The sequence below is a fragment of the Homo sapiens genome, chromosome 10, assembly GCF_000001405.40.
Source record: "Homo sapiens chromosome 10, GRCh38.p14 Primary Assembly".
Taxonomy (NCBI): domain Eukaryota; kingdom Metazoa; phylum Chordata; class Mammalia; order Primates; family Hominidae; genus Homo; species Homo sapiens.
The window spans coordinates 23,319,962-23,347,500 of NC_000010.11; the positions used below are offsets into that span (position 1 = coordinate 23,319,962).

Genomic DNA, 27,539 nt, shown 5'->3' on the forward strand with positions numbered 1-27,539 from the left:
CACTGTCTGCCACAGGTACAGGTGACCATTCATGCATTTAGCAATCAGCAGCTGGTTGTTAATTACGTACCAGTCACAGCGCTAAAGGCAGAACCACAGCAGAGAGTAACACACAGGAGATCCTTAAGGTTGACAGTCTGGCATGGAACGGAGATACTTCACAAGCAATTACATAATTAAATACAGATGTGTTGAGTGCTATGATAAGAAACTTGTAAACAGTGCCCAAAAAGAAGTATGCAAAAAATTTATTTATGGAAGTATATTGAAATGCGAAGTGAGAATATAGTTATAAATGCTAAACAAAGCACAGAGTCTTTGCTGAGTCTAAGAAAACCACTAAAGGCAGGAATTTTCCCATTGTGAAGGAAAATGAAGCATGTGTCTGGCAGATAGAAATGTCCCTGTCATTAGAAAAGTTAATCCACCAAGGGTCAGAGACCATTCACTGGAATTTACTACAGATTCTCTGAACTCTCTCTTAGGACCATCTGACCTTAGTCTATTCAGCTATGGCCTCACCAAATAAACTTTGGATTACTTTGGTACATGCCCAGGTGTCCTGAATACCAGATTAGAATTTTCCAGTTTCTGGAAAGCATTATAATGTGAGCATAAACAGTCCTAGGCCTGATCCCTCTAAGGTGACCTGAAAATCGAGGAAACAGGCCTTCAGAGCTGGAAACACAGACTGGGAAGCCAAGGTGATCCCCACTCCTTGCACACAGCAGCTGAAGCTAGCCTTGCCCACAACTACGGCACCAGAAACAGAAACTCACCTGGTACATTCCTTTGATAACAGCTATGGCATCAGCTAACTGCTGATTGAAGGATTTTCTCATCTTATCCTCATTCTGCAAACAAAAATAAATGCAATAAGCACCATAATGTATTTCCAAATATGACCCACACCTACTAGGGAGGGACTCATAGTAAAAAAACATCATCTGAATCATCACAATCTATTGAAAACTTCAGTTCATAATCATTTCTCCCACCCTGCAGCCGTTATGACACATTTTATTTTTACTTATACTCAACCAAAAGCAATAGAGAGATCATATAGATAAAATATATACAGATAATTTGAACACTTCATTTCATTTTTCACTTGAGTAAAGTCTTTCAGTGCCTTCCTAGAATTGCTTTTAAAAGTAGTAAAGTCTATTTGTGATGCCTATCTTCTTCTAGTCCTTGTACTTTTTGAATGGAATATGCTCATGAAAAGAAATCTATACAGCTAGTCTGCAAACTAGAGTTATTTTCCGATTAATCAAATGATTTGATTAGATCTGTTTAGATTAACAATAGAAGAGAGTGCATTAAAAATAATACCCATGATTCTCATATCAATTCTGATTTCAGCATGGAGTATAAACAAGAAATAGGCTTTATACTTTTCTAAAAAAAATTTGTTTTTTAATTTATTTTGTAGAGATGGGGTATTGCTTTGTTGCCCAGGCTGATCTCGAACTCCTGGGCTCAGACTATCCTCCTGTTTCAACCTCTCAAAGTGCTGGGATTATAGGCCTGAGCCATCGCCTCCCAGCCTCAAATAGGCTTTAGAGTCAGATGGTATTGAATTTAAATATCATTGCTCCCTTTAACTATCTGTCTGACCTTAAGCAAGTTACTTAACCTTGGCAAGCTGTTTCTTGATCTGTAAATCACGGACAATAGGATTTCCATTTTAACATTTTGAGAGATTTAAAGAGTAAATATATTTTAAGGGCTTAGCATGGTACTTAACATGGTGTGGTCAGCAAAAGATGGTTTTTGTTTGCTTGTTTTTATGGCACAGAAATAATAGTAATGTCCGTTTGTTTTGTTTTTTGGTTTTCTGAGACGGGGGTCTCGACTTGTCACCCAGGCTAGAGTGCAGTGGTGTGATCATAGCTCACTGAAGCCTTGAACTCCTGGGCTCAAGTGATTCCCCTGTCTCAGACTCCTAAGTAGCTGAGGACTACAGGCCTGCAACACCACATCTGGCTCATGCTTTTATTCTTCGTAAAGACAGGGTCTCACGATGTTGCCCAAGCTGGTCTTGAACTCCCAGCTTCAAGCCAGCATCCCACCCTGGCTTCCCAAAGTGGTAGGATTAGAGGCATGTGTGCTTGGCCTCTCCTGTTTTTTAACTGGTGACCTTGAACAAGTTAATTAGCCTTTCTGTGCCTCAGTTTTCTCATCTGTAAAAGAGGGAAAATAATTGTGCCTACTTCATAAGGTAAATGTGAGAATTAAATCAGTTCATATGCTAAGTACTTACACAAGTCCCTGACACATAGTGAAGCTCTGTGTATTAATTACCACATGAGACACAACTAATGCAAATTACACTGCCCTCACAAGTTACTAAATTCTAAACTGCACTGCATACACATCTAAGCACAGTATCAATCCACATAAAACAAAAGAAATAAGAGAACATTTACCTGTTGATAATGCTTTTCAATTTCTAGGATCCTGTCATGCAGAATGGTGAAGAGACTCAAAGATTCCTCTTTCAGTCGGTCCTCAAACTTCAACTGAAGCAATTGTTTGAGGAACCCAAAATCTACCTGGAGGGATTTCATCATCTAAAAATGGAAAATATTATCCTTAGCGAAGTAACACAGGAACAGAAAACCAAATACTGCATGTTGTCACTTGCTAAGTGGGAGCAAAATGATGAGAACTCATGTGCACAAAGAGGGGAGCAACACACACTGGGGCCTACTTACGGTGGTGAGCGGGAGGAGGGAGAGGATCAGGGAAAATACCTAGTGGGAAGTAGCATTAGTATCTGGGTGATGAAATCATCTGTACAACAAACTCCTGTGACATGAGTTTACCTATGTAACAAACCTGCATATGTACCCCTGAACCTAAAAGTTAAAATATATATATATATACACACATTAAATAAAAATGGAAAAAATGTACATTATGATAGAGAGTAAAGGTCCTCTGTGTAAAAATTCCAATTCATTCTCTGGTTCTGGACATATAAGCTGGGTTCCTGGTCAGAGGTCTGTCCTGATTTTTAAGATGATTGTATGCATTGTGGAATTCCAGTAATTCCATCCTAGGTGGCCAGGCTTTCAAAGTGACAATTAATTTGCCAAACTAAGATATGATGATGGACTAAAAGACAAGAGTTTCCTAGCAGTTTCTTCCCACACAGAAGAAAATATCTGTGTTAATATTGGCCTTGTCATACCTCAAAAGGTATAGTTCTCAAGATGTGGATTTCAGATCAGAAAAGAGAGGCAAGAATCATCATTTGCTGAGAATCTACTAGCACAAGCATTTAAATATGTAACCAGCATGTTGACTAAGAACCATTTGTAATAATCAAAACACAATGTATTTTTATCTGCCCCCATCTATTTAAAATGTATTCACTAGGGCTCCCACCTGTAATCCCAAAACTTTGGGAGGGTAAGGTGGGTGAAACTCAGGTGAGCCCAGGAGTTTGAAACCAGCCTGGGCAATAGAGTGAGACTCCAGCTCTTCAAAAACTTAAAAGAAGAAAAAAAGAGAGATCTAAAAAAAAAATTTATTCTCTATGTAATCTTCCCCTGCTCTGAATGGAAACGACAAAATCCCATGACTTCTCTATTCATTCATGGGAACATAGTCCTACATCGCTACAAATACAGCCTCAGAGTAGCATTTAGAATATAACTACCAGGTGAGGTGGCTCATGCCTGTAATCCCAACACTTTGGGACGCTGAAGTGGACAGATCACCTGAAGTCAGGAGTTTGAGACCAACCTGGCTGACATGGTGAAACCCTGTCTCTAATAAAAATACAAAAAATTAGCCAAGTGTGGCAGTGCGCCCCTGTAATCCCAGCCACTTGGGAGCTTGAACCCGGGAGATGGAGGTTGCAGTGAGCCAAGATCGCACCACTGCACTCCAGCCTGGGCAGCAGAGCAAGACTCCGTCTAAATATATATATATATATATATATATATATATATATATATATATATATATATATATATATACACACACACACACATATGAGTTAAAATGCTTCCAACTTCATTCATAAGGTTTTTCCCTTTACTCCAAGCTGAGAGTAATGAAAAAGAGTGATTCACCCTTGAGCTCTCTCTGCTCACCTCCTCACCAGCACCCGAGTGGCTGTATCTCCACAAGCAACAAGGCAGCAGTGATAGAGGGGCAAGGATGTTCCTATCTGGTGGGGTGGCTTCACCATGGTGCTACAGGACAGGAGAACTAACTCCTCTTCTTCCCTTGGGCACTGATGTAGATTCTCTAGAGATTCTGATTGCTGGGACCCTCTCTTTTGTAGCTATATCTTGACCTAAGCAGATGCTTCTCTACTCTGAGTGGTCACTTGCTACTCCTTCCTCAGGTTCTATGAATCTGGAGTTCACCTCTTTCTTCTCCCTGCTGTTAGGGGTCCTTTGTTCTTCCAGATAACTCTCCTGGACAGGACCCAAAATGACCCTACACTGGTTTCACCTCTCTCTCTCTCAAGGCCACATATGGTTTACGGGAAACAATTACACATCCTTTACCCCAATAACTCTGGAAGTGCAGACTGATCCCAATCAAGCCATTCTATCTTCTCATCACAGCCCCCTTTGGCTTCCTCAAGCATGAGTCAAGCACCAGTCCTTTGTGTCTTCTAATAGCAGCAAATGCATTCAAGCTCCATTGAAGCCTGCCTTCCTAGCTTTGAGTTGAGGAGGATTGCTTCTGCTGCCCTTCTCCCATAAGAACCATGGCAATAGTTCTTTCTAGAGTCTGCTTTGGCAGTTTTTTCTCTTCATTCCCTGACCTTCTTTATTGTCCTTGATCTGATTCAAAAGCTGAGAGACATTTGTCTAATGTGAAACATTCCCCTTGCAAAATCTGCAAATGGTTTCTAACTCACAGTTAGTTTGGAACTTGACGCCTGGTGTACTGGCATCCTGGGAAGAATTTCATTTTAGTATCCTCATACTATATAGGAGGTTTTATTTTACTGGTGAGAATATCAAGACTTTGAGAGGTTAAGTGACAGTGTTTGGGTGGGGTCCCAGGTGAAAAAAAAATCAGAAAGGGGAACTCTAAAATCACTGTAAAAACTTTGAACAAGCCAGGCATGATGGCTTATGCCTGTAATCCCAGCACTTTGGGAGGCCAAGGAGGAAGGATCACTTGAGGCAAGCAGTTTAAGACCAGCCTAAGCAACATAGTGAGACCTCATCTCTACAAAAAATTTAAAAATTAGCCAGGCGTGGTGGTGTGTAGCCTGTAGTCTCAGCTACTTGGGAGGCTGAGATGGGATGATCACTTGAGCCTAGGAGTTTGGGGCTGCAGTGAGCTATGACTGTGCTACTGCATTCCACCCTGGGCAACAGAGGGAGACTCTGTCTCATAAACAAAAAAGCAAAAAACAAAAATGAAACCTACCTCTGAACAAACCTCTGGCTCATCCCTGAGAGATACATACATGGGGCAGACTGCAAATAGCCCAGCTAGAGATAATATAACAAAACCAAGATTTGGGCTGCTAAAAAAAAAAAAAAAGATATAATTTTCTGTTTTAATCCAAACAAGTTAATTGTGTGCAAAAAAAAAAAAAACAAAAAACAAAAAAACAAAACCAATAACAACAACAACAAAAAAACTTCAGCATTCTTTAGGGGACTATATCAGAACCCAGAAGATAACATCCACACTGTCCACAATATAATCCAAATTACTTGGATTATATATATAAAAAAAAAAAACAGGAAAATGTGATTCAGTCTCAAGACAAAAGATGATTGAAACCAATTCCAATATTACCAAAATGTCAGAATTGCCAAAGATGTTAAAGCAGTTATTATAACTATGCATGATGAAGCAAAGCAAAATATGCTGTAATAAATGAAAAAAGGAAATATCAACAAACAGAAAATTTTGATAAAGAAAACAAATTCCCAAATTGAAAAATACAATATCCAAAATTTGAACTTCACTGAAAGTACTTAACAGAAGAACAAAGATGGCAGAAAAAAACTGTGAACTTGAAGATGTATCAATAAAAAATAGAAAGAAGAAAGATTTTTAAAATTTTACAAAATGGACAGAGTTTAGGGACTTGTGAGTTAATAATGAGAAGTCTAACATACAAGTAATTGGAGAGGATAGAAAAAGTGGGGTGGAACAAATATTTGAAGATATATTTAGTGGCTCCAAATCTCCCAAATTTGGTGAAACATGCAGATTGTAGATGCTTAATTTATTTATCCAAGCAGGATAAATGCATCAAAACCACACTTAGGTACATAATAATCAAGCTGTTGAAAACCAAAGATTAAAAGAAAATGTTGAAAGCAGACAGAAAAGAAACAGCTACATACAGGGGAATAACATTTGGAATGACTAATAATGGTTATTTTCTTAGACACTATTAAAGCCTACAGAGCAATTGTAAAGTGAGAAAACAAAACAAAACACAACTTGTCAACCCGGAATTCTATATTCAATGTAAAAACATTTTAAATAAAACAGAAATTCTTTGCCTACAGTAGGAGAATAGCTAAATAAAGTTTTTTAGGCTAAAGAGAAATAATTTGGGCTGGAAAGCTAGATCTTCAGGAAATAATAAAGAGCAAAGGAAATTGTAAATATCTAGGTACATATAAAATACTAGCTTTCCTCTTATTAGCTTAAAATTTATAGCACTGTTTAAAGCAAACATCATGAGTTTGTAATGTATGTATAATAGATGCAATACGTATGATACTCAGCATAAAAGATGGGAGGGTGGTAAACAGTTACAAGGTTATTGCGTTTTACATGAAGTTGTGCAATATTAATGCTAAGTACACTATAATCCTTGCTGAACAAAGGGTCAAAAGATCTTTAGAAATAATGAAAATTAAGCGCAGAAAGAAGTACTGAGATATGGGAAAGAACGATGAGCAAAGAAATTGGTAAATTTGAGTAAATCTAAACAAGCATTAATTGCATAAAACAATATGAAGAGTTAACTGCAAAAATATTAGGAGAAAACAACTGAAATACTTGATAATAATAATAAAAAAGACAGAAGGACACAATTAGAGATAAAGGTTCTACATTTCTTGTACTGTACGGTAGAAATTACAAATTCTAGTCAACTGTTGAATGTTCAAATTTGAGATTAATCATTAAAAGAATAAAGATAAAATAGTTAATTATTAGTAGAGGAGAGAATAGAAACTAAAGAAAAGTTAATACAATCATTGGAGAGTAGGGAAGGAGAAAAAAGGTATAGAAAAATAAGATAAAGAGAAATTAAAAAAGAAATTGGCAGAAAATACAAATTTATCAGTAGTCAAAATTAATACTAATAGAATAAATTAGCTATTAAAAGAAATTATTAGGTTGGATTTTTCAAAACTATATACAATTTATAAGAGATATATCTAAGACACAACACAGAAATAATGTCAGTGTAGAAATCAGAACGATTTACCAGGTAAATACTAGCCCAAAGAATGTTGATACAGATAAATTAACATTGAACAAAATGGACAATATGGCCAAAGCCTTCATATAGAAAAAATACATAAATTCAATAATTAATAAATACAGATTTTTTAAAATTTCCTGGCCAGGCACGTTGGCTCACACCTGTAATCCCAGCACTTTGTGGGGCTGAGGTAGGCAGATCACGAGGTCAGGAGTTTGAGACCAGCCTGGCCAACATGGTGAAACCCCATCTCTACTAAAAATACAAAAATTATCCGGGCGTGGTGGCGTGCCCCTGTAATCCCAGCTACTCAGGAGGCTGAGGCAGGAGAATCGCTTGAACCTGGGAGGTGGAGGTTGCAGTGAGAAGAGATCGCACCACTGCACTCCAGCCTGGGTGACAGGGCAAGACTCCATCTCGGGGGAGAAAAAAAAAAAATTCCTGCATCTATGCCACATTGACAAAGACTGACCTCACACAAAGCCTCAACACAAATTGCAACAAACACCAGATAATTTGTTGCACAAGGACTGCGTTCTCCAACAAGAAAGCACTGAAGTTAAAAATCAGCAATATAAAAATATTCTAAAAAGCATCTTTGAAAATTTAATAACTTTCTTATTATACAGTTGAAATGAACAAATGAAAAATTCGAGTATTTAAATTTAAATACTAATAAAAATACTATATTTCAAAGTTTGTAGGAGCTAAAAATGTAGTTAGTGGGAAATTTGTAGTTTTAACTGCCTATAAAAGAGAAGAAGAAAGCCTCAAAATCTACGATCTATAGGCATTGGTAGCTGTCAGCCCAATATCCGGCATCATGGTTCTTCTTTACTGATGGAACCATGACATTGTCTCGGGCGGCAATGTGCATAGCTAAAATACTTCTCTATAGCTCCTTGTAGGTCAAGTGATCATGTGATACAGTTACGGCCAAAGAAACATATGGCAAGGCTTTCTATGGAAAGTTTTTGCTTTCCTAAGATAGCTATTACCACTCCTCCCTACTTCTCCCATATTCTCCTTCCATAGAAGCTGGAAGGGGAGCAGCCATCTTGCTACTGGATCAGAACTAGGGCAGCAAAAGTCAGGCACTAATGGTGGAGATGTGAGAAGATAAAATGAATCTACATCACACAGATCAGAGAGCTACTGCACTAACTCTGGATTCTCTAACTCTATACCTCTTGATATTTTATGAAGCCAATGCAGTTGTTTTTTCTAAACACGGAGCTATATGCTATCCTAATTGATACCCAGATCCAACTCAAGAGATTAAAAAAAAAAAAAAAAAGCCAGGCACAGTGGCTCACACCTGTAATCCTAACATTTTGAGAGGCTGAGGCAGGAGGATCGCTTAAGCTCAGAAGTTTGAGGCCAGCCTGGGCAACATAGTGAAACCCCATCTCTACAAAAAATTGTAAAAATTAGCCAGGTGTGGTGGCATGTGCCTGTAGTTCCAGCTACTCAAGTGGCTGAGGCAGGAGGATCACTTGAGCCCAGGAGGTCAAGGCTGCAGTGAGCCATGATTCTGCCACTACACTCCAGCCTGGGCAACAGAGTGGACCCTGTCTCATAAACGAACAAAAAAAAAAAAAAAAAAAAGAAAGAAAGAAAGAAAAAAAGAAAAGAAAGAAAGAGTAAACAGAAAGGAATAAGGAATAATAAATATAGGGAAATAAATTTATGAACTAGAAAATAAAGATACAATATAGAGGATTAATACATCCTAAAATTGAGTGTCTGAAATAAAAAATAATGAAATAGACAATTCTGCCAAGAGTCACTAAGAAAAAAGAGAGGAGATATGCAGACAATATCAGACAACATTAAACATTTAAAAAGGAATATAACTACAGATACAATACTTAAAAATAATAAAAGACAATAAATATTATACCAATAATTTGAAGATTTACCAAAAATAAATACTTTAATAGAAAAACATAACATCAAAAGTGACCCAGAATATTTAAGAAAATGGGAATACATACATAACAAAATAACAATAGCAATAAAAATAAGCACAGTTTTACATGCCAGTTCTAACAAACATTGAAGAAATAGATATTCCCAATCTTATGTGAAGTATTCCAGAGAATAGACTAGGGAACACTTCTCATTTTATGAGGATACTGTGATCTTGGTACCAAGATTGAACAACAATAGTGTAAGAAAAGAGTATTATAGAGTATAGCCTGGGTAACGTAGCAAGACTCTATCTCTACCAAAAATTTAAAAATTAGTTGGGCAAGGTGGTGCACTCTTGTAATCCCAGCTACTCAGGAGGCTGAGGTGGGAGGACTGCTTGATTCCAGGAGTTCAAGGTCACAGTGAGTTATGATTGTCACTGCACTCCAGCCTGGGCAACAGAACAAGAACTTGTCTCAAAAAAAAAAAAAAAAAAAGAAAAGAAAAGAAAAAAATTATAGGGCAATCTCGCTTAAAACAGAGGAAAATAAATCCTCAATAAAATAATAGCAAATAATGCAGAAATGCAAAAGGAAATATTATGATCCAGTTAGGTTTATTTCAGGAAGTCAAGGATGGTTTACTATTCAAAAACCAAATTTTACCACATCATCAGATAAAGGAGAAAAGCCATATGAGTGCATGATCATCTCAATAAGTCCATGAAAAGTATTCAAACCCAGTCATACATGATTTTTTTAAATGCCTCTTATTAATTAGAAATAGAAGAAGACATCCTTAATCTGATTTAACATTTGTATCAGATTTTGGTTCAGCTATAACAAAAAATCCAAATAGCCAGGTTTGGTGGCTCATGCCTGTATTCCCGACACTTTGGGAGGCCAAGGCAGGAGGATCACTCGAGGCCAGGGATTTGGGACCAGCTTGGGCAACATATTGAGACTCTGTCTCTACAAAAAAATAGAAAAAAATATTAGCCAGCTGTGGTGGCACACACCTGTAGTCCCAGCTACTCAGTAGGCTGAGGTGGGAGGATCACTCGAGCCCAGGAAGTCAAGGCTGTTGTCACCTATGATCCTGCCACTGCAATCCAGTCTACGTGACAGAGTGAGACCCTGTCTCAAAAAATAAAGCTCACGCCTGTAATCCCAGCACTTTGGGAGGCCGAGGCAGATGGATCACGAGGTCAGGAGATAGAGACCATCCTGCCTAACAAGGTGAAACCCTGTCTCTACTAAAAATATAAAAAATTAGCCGGGCGTGGTGGCCGGCGCCTGTAGTCCCAGCTACTCGGGAGGCTGAGGCAGGTGAATGGCGTGAACCTGAGAGGCGGAGGTTGCAGTGAGCTGAGATCGTGCCACTGCACTCCAGCCTGGGCGACAGAGCAAGACTCTGTCTCAAAAAAAAAAAAAATCAAAATAACAGAAGCATAAACGAGAAATAAGTTAATTTCTCTCCCTAGAAATCTACCTTGGCAATCAATGGGTGAAATGATCTAAGATTCTTCCGTCTTATTACTCTGCTGTATATTGTTTCAACCTCACGGTTCAAACAGTAGGATCCATGCTCTAGCGGAAGAAGTAAGAAAAGGAAGGAAACTAGGAAAAAAGGAAGGAAAACCGGGAAGGGAAGGGGAGGGAAACTGGTAAGGGAGGGAAGGGGAAGGAAACCAGGAAGAAAGGGGAGGGGAGGGAAACCGGGAAAAGAGGGGAGGGGAGAGAAACAGGGAAGGGAGGAGGGAGGGGATAGGAGGGGAGGGGACTGGGACGGGAACCAGGACAGGAAGGGAGAGGAACCGAGACGGGAACCAGGAAGGGAAGGGAAGGGAACCGGGACGGGGAAGGGAAGGGAAGGGAAGGGAAGGGAAGAGGGAAGGGAAGGGAAGGGAGGAGGGAAGGGAAGGGAAGGGAAGAGGGAAGGGAAGGGAAGAGGGAAGGGAAGGGAAGGGAAGAGGGAAGGGAAGGGAAGAGGGAAGAGGGAAGGGAAGAGGGAAGGGAAGGGAAGGGAAGAGGGAAGGGAAGGGAAGGGAAGAGGGAAGGGAAGGGAAGGGAAGAGGGAAGGGAAGGGAAGGGAAGAGGGAAGGGAAGGGAAGGGAAGAGGGAAGGGAAGGGAAGGGAACAGGGAAGGGAAGGGAAGGGAAAAGGGAAGGGAAGGGAAGGGAAAAGGGAAGGGAAGGGAAGGGAAAAGGGAAGGGAAGGGAAAAGGGAAGGGAAGGGAAAGGAAGGGAACCGGGATGGGGAAGGGAGGGGAGGGGAACCTGGAGAGAAGGGGAACCGGGAGGGGAGGGGAGGGGAGAAGGGAAGGGAAGAAGGGAAGGGGAAAGGAAAGGGAAAAGGGAAAGGGAAGGGAAGAAGGGAAGGGGGAAGGGAAAAGGGGAAGGGAAGGGGAATGGAAAGTAGCAGGAAGGGAAAAAGTGAAGGGAGAAGTAACAGAGGGCGCATGTGAACCGTGTCTCAAAGAAGGTTCCTCAGAGCTGCCACAGACCATTCCCATCTGAATCCTACTGACCAGAACGTGGTCATTTGGACACACTTAGTTACGAAAGAATAAAATTATAAAATGTTTCTGAAAGTATAAAAGAAGACAATAAATTGGCAAATATGTAGGAAAGAGACATCCTCAAAAGTTACTAGCGGGAGTGTAAATTGGTAAAATCTCTATGCAGGGCAATTTGGCAATATCCTTCAAAATGACTAATGCATACATCCTCTGACTCAGAAATTCCACTTTTAAGAATTTACATCACAGATTTACTGGCATATGAGTATGTGCAGGATTATTCATCACAGTAAAATATTAGAAATGACCAAAATGTCCATCAATATGGAAAGCTAAATATATGATGCACATTTTGTGATGTAATGTACTTGTGAAATAAATGAGGAAACTCTATGTGTCAATATAGAACGACTTCCAAGTGTAAAAACAAAATCAAGGTAGACAAGAGTATAGTGGTATGCTACCTCATGTAACAGCTTTGTTGATTAGGGTTTTTAATAATAACTCTTGATCTCCAACGTACATGCAATACTATGCTCCTTTACAATCAAAAAAGATCCAGGCCAGGCACGATGGCTCACACCTGTAATCTCAGTACTTTGGGAGGCTGAGGTGGGTGGATTGCTTGAACCCAGTAGTTCAATAGCAGCCTGAAAAACATGGCAAAACCTCATCTCTACAAAGCATACATAAAATTAGCTGGGCATTGTGGCATGCACTTGTAGTCCCAGCTACTTGTGAGGCTGAAGTGGGAGGATCACCTGAATCCTGGAGGTGGCGGCTACAGTGAGCTATGATCACACCTCTGCCTAGGTGACAAAGTAAGACACTGTCTCAAAAAAAAAAAAAAATTCAAAGAAAATATAACAAAATGTCAAAATTTGACAAAGCTGGATGGTGGGTTACACAGTTATTCATTATATATGCAAAGATGTTTGATAATTTTTTAAAGTGTCATAAATAGAAAATGTTCACAGATGTCAAAAGAATTTCCAACAGAGTAACAAAATACTTTATTAAACAAATTAACATGTAAGTATGACATAAATATAAGTAGTAGCTTATATTAATAATTTGTTAAAGCACAGCTATCATTCAGCTGTTTGTCAAAGATGCTAACATTTTAAAAATTTTAATTATTTCACTTTTGTCTATGAAAGAAACATGAAGGCAATTAACGCCAAAAATTATCTCAGAAGTTTCAGAACAAATTCAGATTTACCTGTGCTAACTTTTGCGTAGATGAACTCAATTCTTTTACTGACAGTATTTCACTGGAATCAGTTTGAGTGGCATGGTCTGTGCTGAAAAAGCCAATCTTTAAATCATCTGAAATGTTAAGTCTGAAAACAAAGGAAATGAAATGTGCTTTAAGTCATAGATATTTTCTTAGAAATAGATGTTAATGCGTCTTTTTTTGTGTAAATCATATCGTATTTTAAGTATTCTAAGAGGTTGGTGAGGTGAGGAAGCCTCTGAATTAGCTCTTGTGATCTGGAGCTAATGAAGATAATGAGATTATCAAATTCCCTGGACTGAGGCATATTGCTCTATGGTTAGTCATCTGATTTCCACTTTTCTGAGATATGATCAATTTATATACCTGCTTTTAATATCTTCCATACTGTTATTGCCTGTGCTACTGCTGGAAATAATTCTAGATTATGCATAGGCCTATTCAGCAGAAATCCTTTAAGACAGTGGTTTTCAAAGTATGGGCCGAGGACCCCTGGGGTTCTGGGATACTCTATTAGAAAATCTGTGAGATCAAATTAATTTTATAATAGTATTAAGATTTTATTTGTCTTTTTACTGTCATTCTCTCACAAATGTTCAGTGGAGTTTTCCAGAGGCTACAGATTATACAGAAGCAGCTATGAGAATTCAGCTCTCTTCCATTAAGCCAGGCATGGAAAAGCTTTGCAAAAATGTAAAACAGTGACACTCTTCTCATGAAAGTTTTTGTTTTAGAACAATACAGCTAGTTTTTCTTTAAAATATGCTATTTCCAGCTACTATAGAGGCTGAGGCAGGAGGATTGCTTGAGTCCAGGAGGTTGAGGCTGCAGTGAGCTATGAAAGCACCACCACACTCCAGCCTGGGCAACAGAAAGAGCACATGTTTCAGAAAAATAAAATAAAATAAATAAAACATGGTATTTCTATTAACACATACCTGATTTATCCTTATTTTAAGTGAATCAATATATTTTAATTTTCTTCTTTTAAATTTCCAATCTGGCAACTATCAATAGATAGGACCAACATAAACTAAATCTCTTTGAGGGTGCCAATAATTTTTTAAGACTACAGAGAGGTCTTGAAACCAAAAAGTTTGAGAATTGTTTCTTTAAGATGATCATACCACCTTCCTATATTTGATTTTCAAGCATTATTCCTGAAAAATGTGAATAGGCCAGGAACAAGTGTTTGTAAATTCCTTCTACAGATTTCTAAGGATAGGCATCTCAAACAGCATTAAGAAGGCAATTTTCTGGATGCACTCTGTCAATTTGATCAAACTTACCACAACTGTTTCTAAAATGTCAGCTAAAATAAGAGAACCACAAAAGCCCAAGTAGAATTATCAGACTTCTCAGTGTAGGTGCCAAAGGCAGAATGTCTGTGCTTCTATCCCACCTCTTCTGCTGACGAGAGCATACCCCCATGCGGGGCACCCCATGGCAACTCCCCTCTTCTTGCATGCTGGCCAAACCTCAGATTTGTCCCCCACAGAACTCAGATGAAGTTGACCATATCCACAGTGCCAAGTATAACTCCAAGCTGGGCTAAGCCCATCACAGTTATCCCACTCTGCTTGGCAGTGGATGTCCAGGGACGGGTGTAGAACCCAGGTCTGAAGAGGGAGACATTAGGAAGGGTCTGTTGGGGGCTAGTAAGAAAGGTTTTTAGACTCCTACAAAGGGGGCACCAGAGGAGAGGTTTCTTCTTTGTCTCTGGACATTGCCAAGGGTGGAAGTAATGCCAAGAACTGGCACAGTCACTAGGTGACTACAAGGGGGGCCAGCCAGGGCATAGATGATGAGCTTTCAAAAAAGATGGAAATAGGTTGGGCGCAGTGGCTCATGCCTATAATCTCAGCACTTCGGGAGGCCAAGGCAGGAGGAGCACTTGAGGTCAGAAGTCTGAGATCAGCCTGGCCAATATGGCAAAACCCCGTCTCGACTAAAAATACAAAATTAGCTGGGTGTGGTGGCACGTGCCTGTAATCCCAGCTACTCGGGAGGCTGAGGGACAAGAATAGCTTGAACCTGGGAGGCAGAGGCTGCAGTGAGCCGAGATCGCACCACTGCACTCCAGCCTGGGTGACAGAGCAAGATTCTGTCTCAAAAAAAAAAAAAAAAAGATGGAAATAAATTTGACTGATGACTTTGCTCAGCCATTGACTCAATTAGCTCTGAAACCTGTCATACCTCCAGTCTCCCTGTAATGTCATAGAGTAAGTGCAATTGTTGGCAGTTTCTGTCAACTGTAGCTGAAAGCATCCTGACTGATACTGTAGCTAAGTGACATTAGATAAATTACTAAACCTTTCTGTGCCTTAGTTTCCTCTTATGGAAAATAATAGTCCCCACTTCATAGACTTACTGTGAGAATTTAGTGTGTTAATACTTAGAAGTATTTTGAATGAACCTTCATACAACAGTAAGCCCTCAAGAAATGTTACTCATTATTAGTACTGCAGTGGTGGTGGTTTCTACTGTCACTCTGATGTTTTGAAATGTCATAGTTTTTTCATCATATTTGGAAAAAACTATTAAAGCAGAGCAATATCAACTAAAAAAGGCCATTTAACATGAAAACTCCTTGATATTCAAAATAAAGATCTTCAGTTAATCCCACAAAATTTTCAGCTTTCCATATACTAATTACAGTAAACAAGTAAATAAAAATATGCGATATATTCTGAGGTAGTGGTGAGCCTCATTTCTCATTACATACACTCCATGTAACTTACTCATGTGTCACATATCTACTAGTTAAATGTTCCCCCAAATACATCTGTACCTTAACAGTACCCTCAGCCTAGGATTAAGTCTCCCCACAGTTGTACCTATCAAAATCATATGTAACCACTTTCTTTTCTACCTTCTTTTGCCTTCCATTCTCTTCCCTTCTCAGGGTGAAGGAATCAACATAGTGGTCAATGACATGGGGCCATAAAAAAAACTGGGAGTCAGGCATAGAAGAACAGCAAGCCTGGTGGCTAAGAATGTGGGTCAGTTGGGGGAACAGGGGCAGCAGCACAGAGGTGGCAGACAGAGGAGAGGACCACAATAGTGGGAGACTGGATACATTGAATGAGTAAGTAAATGTTCTCAAAATGACAGAAGTCAAGTTTTTCAGTTCTAGGAAAGATATTTACAAACATAGGGAAAGAGTAGACTAGAAAGTTCTCTGAGACAATGGAATGGAATGGGAAGAATTGGTATGAATGCGTACTTTTATAAATATAGATAAATAGATATATAAATAGTTGTAGGTGTATATATGTGTGCACATATATATGTGAACATATATCATATACATGTGCATATATTTATACATATCTGTTTCTAGTTCTGTCCAATGAGAGGGCCTAGAAGAATGGCACTCCAGTAGTGATGAGCACATCTAACACTCAGATGTTGGTTTCTTTTCTTTCTTCTCCTTTTTGTTTCAGTATATTTTTTGAGACAGAGTCTTGCTTTGTCACCCAGGCTGGAGTGCAGTGGTGTGATCTCAGCTCACTGCAATCTCTGCCTCCTGGGTTCAAGTGATTCTCACGCCTCAGTCTCCGAAGTGGCTGGGATTACAGGTGTGGACCATCACACCTGACTAATTTTGTATTTTTAGTAGAGATGAAGTCTCCCCATGTTGGCCAGGCCGGTCTCAAACTCCTGGCCTCAGTGATCCACCTGCCTCGGCCTCCCAAAGTGCTGGGATTACAGGTGTGAGCCACCGCACCTGGCCCTAGATGTTGGTTTCTAAAAACCATCCTCCACTAAAAGCAATGAAGTCTCCTTGAAAAAATGGTTCATTCCAAGATTGGAATAAAAGTATATAAAATTATAGAAAGCAAAAGTATAAAATGAGCCTGGAACATTTTGTTTGCCATAAAGTGAAGAAATGCTCAAAAGATGATGGGAAAATGTAAAAATGATGAAGAAACTAGATTGAAGAAACAACCACTGGCCATATATGACAATTTAAGCATCAAAATAAATAATGAAAGCATCAGATTATAACCCATTGAATAAAATAGGAATCCATCAATCCATACTGATATGAATGAATGAATGAATGAATGAACAAATAAATGAGGATGGGAAGCTCTAATAAATATAGAAAAAAAGCAGAGAATTACCACATGGCAGTCATCATAAAAGTGACATTAAGATAGGAGTCATCAGGCTGGGTGCAGTGGCTCACACCTGTAACCTCAGCACTTTGGGAGGCTGAGGTGGGTGGGTCACTTGAGCTTAGGAGTTCGAGACCAGCCTGGCCAACATGGCGAGACCTTGTCTCTACAAAAAATGCAAAAATTAGCCAGGTGTGGTGGCAAACACCTGTAGTCCCAGGTACTTGGGAGGCTGAGGTGGGAAGATCACCTGAGCCTGGGAGGTTAAGGCTGCAATGAGCTTGGATTGTGTCACTGCACTTCAGCTTGGATGACAGAGTGAGATCCTGCCTCAAAAAATAAAAATAAAAGAGAGGAGTCATCATTGGTGACTATGGCTGGTTAGAATAAGTTTTAGAAAAAAGTAAATTGTAATACCTAGAAAATAGTAATTTATTCCAAAGAAAAGAATGGTAAATTTAAAATAGAGAACTTTGGTAGGCACCAACTCAACAAGGTCAAGGTTAATGAGGGGAAAAATTGAACCATGCCTACTAAAGTTGAAGCCCTGAGAACCCAACCCGAGAAGTTCTTTATGACCAGGTGACTGAGGGAAAAAACCTCAAGCCTGATTCACAGATGGGTTCCTCACCAGCTGGTAGTTACCTGCAGTCTCACAGCCACACTCAGAAGTGACCCTGAATGACACAATCATGAAGGAAAATCCTCTCACTGAATAAACTGAAAGCAGTATATTTGGTTGTCTACTTTTTCTGGATGAAGGATGGCCAGAATTATGTATTGACATTAATTTATGGGCAGCTGCTAAACAGTTAACAAGATGGTCAGGAACTTGGAAGGAACAGATTGAGAGATGGATGTCAAGAATGTCTGGGAAGAGTTCTGTGGATGAGCCTTTGAAAATGGGCACAGACTGTAAAGGTGTTTGTGCGGCATCTGAATGCCCACCCAAGGGAATCCCCTACAGAGAAAGTAGTTAAATAATTAGGCAAAATGACACACTCTGTGGATATCGTTCAGTTTCCTTTTGCAGCCACCCCTGCTTGCTTGATGGCCCTCGAACAAAATGGCCATGGTGTCAGGAGTTCAACAATGTGGTTTTCCCCTTACCAAGGCTGGCCTGGCTACCACAGGTGCTGAGTGTCTAACTAGTCAACAGCAGAGATCAATACTGAGCTCCCAACGTGGCAGCATGAACCACAGGGAATAGCCAGCCACCTAGCGACAGGTTGATAGCACTGAACTTCTTCCATCATCCTCACCGGAACACACATTTATTTTGGATATGGATTTGCATTCCCTGACTATACTGCACTGGCCAGAACCACCGAGCATGAACTTACAGAACATCTTATCCATCATCACGGTATTCTCACAGCACCACTTCCCATCAAGGAACTCATTTCACAGCAAAAGACAGGCAGCAATGGATTCATGCCCATGGAATTCAGTGATCTTATCATATAACCCATCACCCAGAAGTGGCTCGCCTAATAGGTTAAATAGCTTACTGAAGATTCATTTAAGGCCAGGCACAGTGGTTCACGCCTGCAATCCCAGCACTTTGGGAGGCCGAGGCGGGAAGATCACTTGAGCCCAGGAGTTCAGGAATGGCCTGGGCAACATAGTGAGACCCTGTCTCTACAAAAAAATAAAAATAAAAAAAATAAAATTAGCTGGGCATGGTGGCACACACCTGCACTGCCAGCAATATTTGGGAGAAGCAAATCCATGAAAGAATGCAGTTCTGTCTCACAGGATGCAGTATATGCTTTGAAACAGTATATGGTGCTATCTCTCCTACAGTCATAGGTCCAAGAATGAAGAGGCACCTCTCACTCTTATGCCTCATAACTCACGCCCAAAATTATAGTTTCCTGTCTCTGCAACTTTAGGATCTGCTGGTTTGGAAGTCTTAGTTCACAAGGGAAGAATGTTTCCAGCAGAAAACATAACAGAAATTCTATTGAATTAGATGACACTGATGACTGGTCACTTTGTGATCCTTATGCTGCTGAAACAAAGGCAGAAAAGGGAGTCACTCTACTGGCTGAAGTGGATTGATTCTGAATACCAAGGGGCAATTGGGTTGCTGGTGAACAACGGAGTCAAGGAGAACTCTGTCTGGAACCCAGAGGATTCTTTGGGGTGCCTCTTAGTGTTTCCGTGCCCAGTAATAAAGATTAATGGAAAAAAGGCAGCAAAAAAAAAAAAAAAAAAAAAAGGCAGAACTTTTAAAAGTCAGGACTTCCAGGAACGAACATTTGGATCTCGCAGCTAGGTAAGGAACTTTGACCTGTCTGTACCTTTCAGCAAGTTTCGCAGCCACTGGGCAAGCCATCCCTGCAGACCAGCAGTTGTCACACCCTCTGGCAAGTTTCTCTCCCACCATGTCTTCTCCAAAGAGGTATCATTCCTAATCTCAGCCTTTGAGGGCGGGTCTTCTAACTCCTTAGTTTCTGCCCTGTTTCCTCTTCCTCAGACCTGGAGGTCATAGCTGCTTTTTGTGTTTGCTATCAGTGTATTGTCTAGAGTCTTCTTTTACCACCTTACTGCCTTTCACTAGTTAAAAATCCTTCTTACTATTTAACAGAGAACAGGAAATAGTCCCTGTTGAAATTAGCAGTGAGGTTTCTGCCTCCTGTCTGGACCCTGAGTGCTACATCAATATAGTAAATATAAACAGCCATGGGAACTAATTCTGTTTCTGTATAGTCTACACTGCTGCACATTTAACAGATCCCAGTGATTCACTTTTCCAGTCTAGAAATGCAATCCTTTACCCTACCCAGTGCTAAGCGGCTCCTTTTTACTATTCAGCCACATTTTTCATTAAGCATGAACATGTATGTTCTTCTGTTCCTTCCCATTTTAAGCAAAAGACCTATCATGGGTGGTTTATGGAGTGTGAATAGTTTTTACCAATTTTTTTTCAGGATATGATTTAGAAACTTGAAATTATGTTTTCAGGTATTCCTTCTGGTACCATAATATTACAATAATACAATATGATATTTTAAAATCAGGTTCAGGCTGGGTGTGGTGGCTCACACCAGCATTTTGGGAGGCTAAGGTGGGCAGACTGCTTGAGCTTAGGAGTTTGAGACCAGCCTGGGCAACGTGGTGAAGCCCTGTCTCTACAAAAATACAAAAAAAAAAAAAAAAAAAAATTAGCTGGGCCTGGTGGCACACACCGGCGGCTCCACCTAGTCAGGAGGCTGAAGTGAGAGGATCCCTTGAGCTCAGAGGTCAGAGGCTGCAGTGAGCTGTGACCATACCACTGCACTCCAGCCTGGGTGACAGAGGGGCAGCCGGAAATGGCAGATTCTTCTTCTAACTCCCTGATGAGGATAAGCCCATGACTCTCCGATTTCACCAGTCCTAACTCTTTATGTGACTGACTCAAAAAGTTCCAGCTCATTCAGAATCTAACTGAATGAGGAAGATTTATTCTTCAGTGTCCCTTCAAATTCCAAATGTCTCTAATTTTAGCTAACAACCCTGCTACCTAGAATGGAAACCCACATCACAACAAATTAGCTAAGTGGTTCCTACACAGTCTTTATTTATAGTCTCAGCAATTCTATTTCTGAATAATAAGTTGGTGGTTATGCATAAAACAGAATTTGGGGAAGATAATTATGTTTTTTAAAATAAATTACATACAAAATTAACGTCCTAATTTATTTTGGAAAACAGACCTATGAATATGTATTAATAAAATGCAATGACTCTTCTCACTGAATCCTAGAATTGTCCATCCTACAAATGCTTATTAATAAATCAGTCAATGAAGACAACATTAGGTGTGTTAAACTTTCACTGTGGCATATTTCTCAGGGCTAAATAAGAATATTGCTTCCTTTTACTCCTCTTCAAAGAACACAGAACTTTGATGTGCCCCATGGCTCATAAACTTCTCTAACTACACTCACTTCCTGGCTGATGTCACCAAGGCTCTCAGCTTAAGACACCATCTTTGTGCTAATTATTTCCAAACTGATACAGCCGAGCTGAACCTCTCTTCTTAACTTCAGACTCATCTAATCAACTACCTACTTAACAGCCTAAATGGATGTCTAATAGTCACTGCTGACATATAATGACCAGAAGTAAGCTTATGATATTCCCTTCAGACCTGTTCATCTCATTATCCTCCCCATCCGGGTTACTGGCAATTCCATTCTACCTGTTCATCACAGTCTCTCCGGACCTCCAACCACTGCTACCCCATGGTCATCTTCCATGAGGAATATTGTAATAGTCTCCTGTTTCCTTGTTTCTGCCCTCGTCCTCACTATAGTCTATTATCTAAACAGCCGTCAGAGTAATCCCATTGAAGGATAAATCAAATCATGTCACTCCTCTTTTCCAATCCCCTCATGGCTTCCCATCTCAAAGTAAAAGCTGAAGTCCTTAAGGTAGTCTAAAGTCCCTCGCCACAGGCACCGTCCCCCTTCCCTCTGACTTCACCTCCACTATTCTCCCTCTCTGCTCCAGCCACACTGGCCTCCTTGCTGCTCCTAGGACATCCAGGCACCATCTTTCTACCCAGTGTTCTCTCTGCCTGGAACACTTGCTAGCCTGATAGATCCTTAGGGCTCCCCCCTCAAGCCTGCAAGTCTTCACCCCAGTGTCATTTTCTCAGTGAAGCCTTCCCTGATCACCATTTCTAAAATCTGCAGTCCAGGCCGGGTATGGTGGCTCATGCCTGTAATCCCAGTACTTTGGGAGGCCGAGGCTGGAGGACTGCTTGAGCCCAGGAGTTTGAGACCAGCCTGGGCAACACAGCAAGACCCTGTATTAAAAATAAATTAGCCAGGCAGGCTGGGGTGTGCTTGTCGTCTCAGCTACTCAGGAGGCTGAGGTGGAGGGATCGCTTGACTCCAGGAGTTCAAGGCTGCACTGAGCCATGATTGTGCCACTACACTCCAGCCTGGGTGACAGAGTGAGACCCTGACTCTAAAAAACAAAACAAAACAAAACAAAAATTAAATCACAGCTCCCTCCCCACTTGCCACACACACACACACACACACACTCTCACACACTTACTCACTTTCCTCTTCTCCCTCCCCATGTTCGGTTTCTTCCTTATCACTAACCACTATCTAACTTATTACATAGTTTACTTGTTTATCTAGTTCATCATCAATTCCTGACTAGGATGCAAACTCCACAAAGGCCGGGCTTTCGTCTGCTTTGTGGACCACGTTCAGCACCTGAGCCTCTCTCATTCACACCCAGGCACCAGCTCAGTCGCCCTAGTACTTTGGGTGAAGAGGAAGGAATATGGGCATCAGTGGTTCTTTTGTTCAGCCAAAGAGCACCCGGCACCATCGGTCTGCTCTTGAGCCTGGCAAGTGCATTTTTTTTTGGGAGCTACCCCACCATGGAATGCCAAGGAGTCCAGGGCAGGACACCATTCCTATCAGCAAACACTAGAACAGGGTAGACGCTGTGTGCCTCTGGTGTTTATCACGTGCTGCCTCTAATAAATGCTATTCACAACCACCACTAGACCAGGTCCCGTGCACCCTGACCCATTTTAACAAACGTACCCATTGAATACAGTGAAGCTGGGGAAGCCCAGCCCAGGAGCATTGCCTCACTGGGTCAGTCCCACTGCTGGGCTAGGACACCTGTGGTCCCTTCTTCTCACCCTGGAGCTGTGTCTGTGTGAGGGGCTTGCCCCTAAGCCAGCCCACCTGGCACCATGAGGCCCCTGCCTTATACAACGGTAAGTTCTCCCATAGCAGCTAAGCTAATTCTGGCTACCTACTGATTTGAAAAGGTTTTTAGAAAGAAATTTGCATTTTCCCAGAAACATCAGCTCTACATTATCCAAATAAACAACAAAGCTAGAACACAGGGGGCAAAGGATTATGAAAGGGACGGGTTTTAAACAAGGATCAAGGAATAGCAAATAATGACATCGGCAAACACTTCTATGATTCTGCTATGGTCTGAGTGTGTCTCCTGAAAATTCATGTTGAAATCCTAACCCCCAAGATGACGATATTAGCAGGTGTGGACTTTGGAGGTGACTAGGTCATGAAAGTGGAGCCCTATAAATGGGATTAGTGCCCTTCTAAAAGCAGGGTGGGAGCGGGTGTGGGGGACGTGGGGGAAAACTCCCTTGCCCGTTGCACCATGTGGAGACACAGCCAGGAGGTACTGTCTGTGCAGAAGGGACCCTCATCAGACCTGGAATCTGCCAGTGGGCTTCCCAGCCTCCAGAACTGGGAGAAACAAATTCCTGTTGCTTATAAGCCACCCAGCCTATGTTGTTTTGTTACAGCAGCCCGAGGGGACTAAGACGGGTACTGTGTCCTAGATTAGCTCATTTAATATTCACTATGATCTATGAAGCAGGCACTACTCTTCATCATTCATGAACGATTATTTCCCGCTGAGAAAACTGAGGCACAGAGCAGTCAGTCGCCTAACTCACGGCCCCTGTGAGAGGGTCGCCAAGATTCTGGAATCCGGGCAGTCTGGCTCCAGAGTCCGTGCTCTTAGTGTCCAGCTATACACTTGAAGAAGTGAAAACTGCAGCTCTTTTCGGACAGTGATCCCCTCGAAAAACAAACAAAAAACTGAAGCCCAGCGGCTGGAGCAAGGGGCCTGGAAAGGCGTTGAGCGAGGGCCGGGGCGCGAGGGCTCCGGGGCGGGCCGGCGGGGACTGCCTCTCCCGCTGGTCACCTGGGGTTGAACTGGAATTGTTCAATAGAGGCCTCGAGGCCCTCCATGATCTTCCGGCCCTCCTCTGTCTCAGGCGAGTCGCCCCAGTTCGCCATTGCAGCCCCGGACGTGCGCCTCCCGCGGAGCCGCTCGCTCTCCTGAGTCGGAGTCGGGAACCCGGCGTCCGTTGCCATGGCGACTCCCAGGTAACCGGCGAAGCGCGGGAATCCGTGGGCGGGGGCCGGGGAGGGCCGCGAGTGGAGGGGGGTGGGGAACGGGGTGGGGAGGGGAAGGGGGAAGGAGATGGGGAGGAGGGGGATAGGGAGAAGGTTGGGGATGGGGGGGAAGGGGAGAGGGAAAGGAAGTAGAGGAGGTGTGGAGGGAAGGAAGAGGGGGAAGGAGTGGGGGAAGGGGGAAGAGATGGAAAGGAGGATGGGGAGGGAGCACGCGCGGGAGGAGGGGAGTGGAGAGGGGGAGGAGGAGGCGGGGCGGGCTCCCAAGCCACCCCGCTGCGCTTTCACTGTCCCGCCTGCCTCAAGGCTTCCCCACAAGACTCCCACAGCCTGGAGGCTGCTGCGATACCCCAGAGGAAAGCTGCACCCCCGTAAATAACCCTTCAGCCTCCCGCCGTGCCCCTGGACCCTGCTCGCTTCCTCCTCTACCCAGGCGCGGAGCTCAGCCTACCTCGTGGACCCGCGCATTTGCGGGGGCTTGAATTCCCGAGCTTCTCGCTTCCTACGCGCGCAGCAGACCCGCAGCTCGGTGGCCTTGGCTTTCATGGCCTCCCAGCGTGTGCCAAAGGTCCCCCTCAAGGAGGAGGAAAAGCAGTGAACCCATCTAATAACTATGCTCATGACATAATGAGCCCTGCGATCCCGGACCAAGGCCATCATAAGAGGAGAGCAGGCTGCCTAATAAGCTGTCTCCACCTGCCACAAACGTAGGCGTTCCTGGACAAAATATTTCCTTGCAGAGATTAAACAGATTTCTATTTAATGAGGTCAGAATGTGAGGCGTTAAGTCTTAAACTATACCATCTAGTGTGGAATTCAATTTTACCAGGTTTCTACAATAATAAGAGTTAATAGTGAAACTGTTGTCATCCTTAGTTTTAAATTATGTATCACTCATTGTCAACTAATAGGAGACACCTATTCTAATATCAGTATGTCATTGTTTTTCTGTAAACGACTGGCTAAATTTATTTTTAAAATGTCATTGTCTGGTTTAGAACTGTCTATACTACATCTGCATTTCAATATATTATCTACAGAAAAATAAGTTTTTTCTCCTCTCTCTTATTATTATTATTATTATTTTTTGGAGCCGGAGTCTCGCTCTGTCGCCCAGGCTGGGGTGCAGTGGCGCGATCTGGGCTCACTGCAACCTCCGCCTCCCGGGTTCAAGCAATTCTCCTGCTTCAGCCTCCCGAGCAGCTGGGACTACAGGCACACAGCACCAAGCCAGGCTAATTTTTTGTATTTTTAGTAGAGACGGGGTTTCACCGCGTTGTGCAGGCTAGTCTAACTCCTGAGCTCAGGCAATCTGCCCCCCTCGGCCTCCCAAAGTGCTAGATAACAGGCGTGAGCCACAGAGCCCGGCCTCTTCTCTGTCTTGTAACAGTAAGTGAAAATAACTTAGCTGGATTTAGAAGCTCAAAACAGGAAAAGAAAAGCACTGTAGCATTATCACTACTATTATGTTTAAAGACAAAGATTAAAAGCCCCAAATGCCAATAAAACATCATAACCAATGCCAAAATCATCTTCTGTGAAGGCTTATTTTTTGGGGGGGAGATGAAGAGAGAAGAGAAAAAGAGTTACTTTTACTCTTTGGAGGTTTTTAATTACAAACTCTAACTTCAGACTTTATTTGGGGAATTTTTATTATATAATCAAAAGGTATTTTAAAAGAAAGAAATTTATATATCTACAATAACTTTTCTTTTTCCTAAGTGATATTTTACCACAATGTATATACATGTTTTAAAATAAAGATTAAAATTTTAAGTTAAAATTTCAAAACCTATCTGTTTAGAGCTGGGCCAAGACAGTGTAAAGAATGTGACAAGCTGTTGGCTATTTTCCTAGTGCAATTATAAATGAATCGTTTGAAACTGAGGAGAGAGATCGCACAGAAGATTTCATGAGTCATTGGTCAGCTCTGTACAGCATTTGTTGACTGATATAGTCTGCATAGTTACGCCATCCCACAAAAACATGCATTGAACAGAACATCTTTGTTTGAAACCTTGCTATAGCATATCAAGGAGTTTCAGATTTCAGTGTCTAAGAGACCACGCTATGATGATGATTGTTTTTGAAACCGTTAACTACATAATACTTCTCTTCTTGTCAGTTACCTGTATTTTATCTCACAGGTGTTCCGGCTTATAAAATTGTTTATTTCAGATCAGATTCTCACCTGTAGTAACTGGCGTTGATGTGGTCAAAACATTTGTCATATTAAATCCAGGCCTCTTTTATCACATGCTAAATTCATTGATGGCTTTAGTGGAAAGCTCATGAACTCTGCAGTAAATATTAAATATATACAGGCTTTGAAACTTACTCGATTTAGAATTTTGGGCAAGTAAGTTAACATTTCAGAGCCTCTATTTTCTCACAAGTAAAAACTGGATAATGAATGTTTCTCAAAGTTGGGGTAATCTATAAAGCAGAAAAACACGCAGCACATGCATGAGGCAACTGCAAGAGAAATACCAACTAGGCCTTTGAAGGACTCTATTCCTTCTTCCTAAACCACTACTAGGGAAAACATTGTTTAAAGATGTCAGTGTTTTGGCTGGATTCGGTGGCTCATGCCTGTAATCCCAACACTTTGGGAGGCGGAGGCAGGCAGATCACTTGAGGTCAGAAGTTTAAGACCAGCCTGGCTAACATGGTGAAACCCTGTCTCTACTAAAAATACAAAAATTACCTGTGCATGGTAATGCACGCCTGTAATCCCAGCTACTTGGGAGACTGAGGCATGAGAATCACCTGATCCCGGGAGGCAGAGGTTGCAGTGAGCCGAGACTGCACCACTGCACTCCAGCCTGGGCGACAGAGTGAGACCCTGTCTCAAAATAAATAAATAAATAAAGATTTCAATTTTAAAAAATTGAACATTTCATAAGTTAACATTGTTTTTACTTGTTCAGTTAATAGGACTTCAGGCACAATTTTAAAATTTGAAGTGCTTCTCTGACATACCACAGGTATAAATAGAATATGTATTTATATAAAAATATCGCCTACCAGTTATTAAAAGTGATAACATCTCAGATTAACTAGCATGAGAATTTGATTAAGAGTCAAGTGCTGACTCTAAACATAGTAATTTATGTATTCCAGTTGGGTAGTATCAGTTCTATAGTCTAATAAGAGCCAAGAGGTTTCAGTTTAGGTTTGTAATTTAAATTCTTTCTAGAGCGTCATCACATGCGAAGTGCTTATTTTTCTTTTATCACCAGCTATAATATATGATTATGTGGTGGAGGCTCTGTTATGTAAACTTGTTTTATGTCATGCTTCATCCACAACCAAAGTTCTTAAATAAAGTCTTTGGAAGGACATAGTAAGGCTCTTAGCCAGGGCAATATAATGCTACTAAA

General features: G+C 41.3%; 1 protein-coding gene and 1 long non-coding RNA gene across 15 annotated transcripts in view, besides 2 other annotated features; one reads left to right on the forward strand and one right to left on the reverse strand.

The window, feature by feature from the left end:
* Positions 1-24,836, reverse strand: part of C10orf67 (chromosome 10 open reading frame 67) — a 142,882-nt gene extending 118,046 nt beyond the window's left edge. For 12 of the 14 annotated variants that reach the window (XR_930487.2, XR_930488.2, NM_001365862.2 and 9 more), the window contains exons 1-4: positions 24,608-24,836; positions 13,101-13,221; positions 2,433-2,576; positions 780-854 (exon numbers count right to left, since the gene is read on the reverse strand). Coding sequence is in view for 12 of the 14 variants with exons in the window: in NM_001365862.2 (NP_001352791.1) it covers positions 780-854; positions 2,433-2,576; positions 13,101-13,221; positions 24,608-24,816 (549 nt within the window). In the remaining 2 variants the exon portion in view is untranslated. Of the gene's footprint in view, positions 1-779; positions 855-2,432; positions 2,577-13,100; positions 13,222-23,944; positions 24,118-24,607 lie in introns of those variants that run through there. The other 2 variants (XM_047424968.1, XM_017016031.2) reach the window with 2 other exon arrangements.
* Positions 5,316-5,365: an enhancer, noted in NCBI's record as "active region_3151". NCBI's record gives its function as "activates an Ori minimal core promoter by ATAC-STARR-seq in GM12878 lymphoblastoid cells {active_cell/tissue: GM12878}" and the evidence as "EXISTENCE:reporter gene assay evidence [ECO:0000049][PMID:35858748]".
* Positions 23,996-25,200, forward strand: C10orf67-AS1 (C10orf67 antisense RNA 1). The gene is made up of 2 exons (NR_155752.1): positions 23,996-24,129; positions 24,463-25,200. It is a non-coding gene; the product is annotated as a C10orf67 antisense RNA 1 (long non-coding RNA).
* Positions 25,959-26,253: a silencer, noted in NCBI's record as "tiled region #3018; K562 Repressive non-DNase unmatched - State 24:Quies". NCBI's record gives its function as "represses a minimal TATA promoter and a strong SV40 promoter by Sharpr-MPRA in K562 cells {active_cell/tissue: K562}" and the evidence as "EXISTENCE:reporter gene assay evidence [ECO:0000049][PMID:27701403]".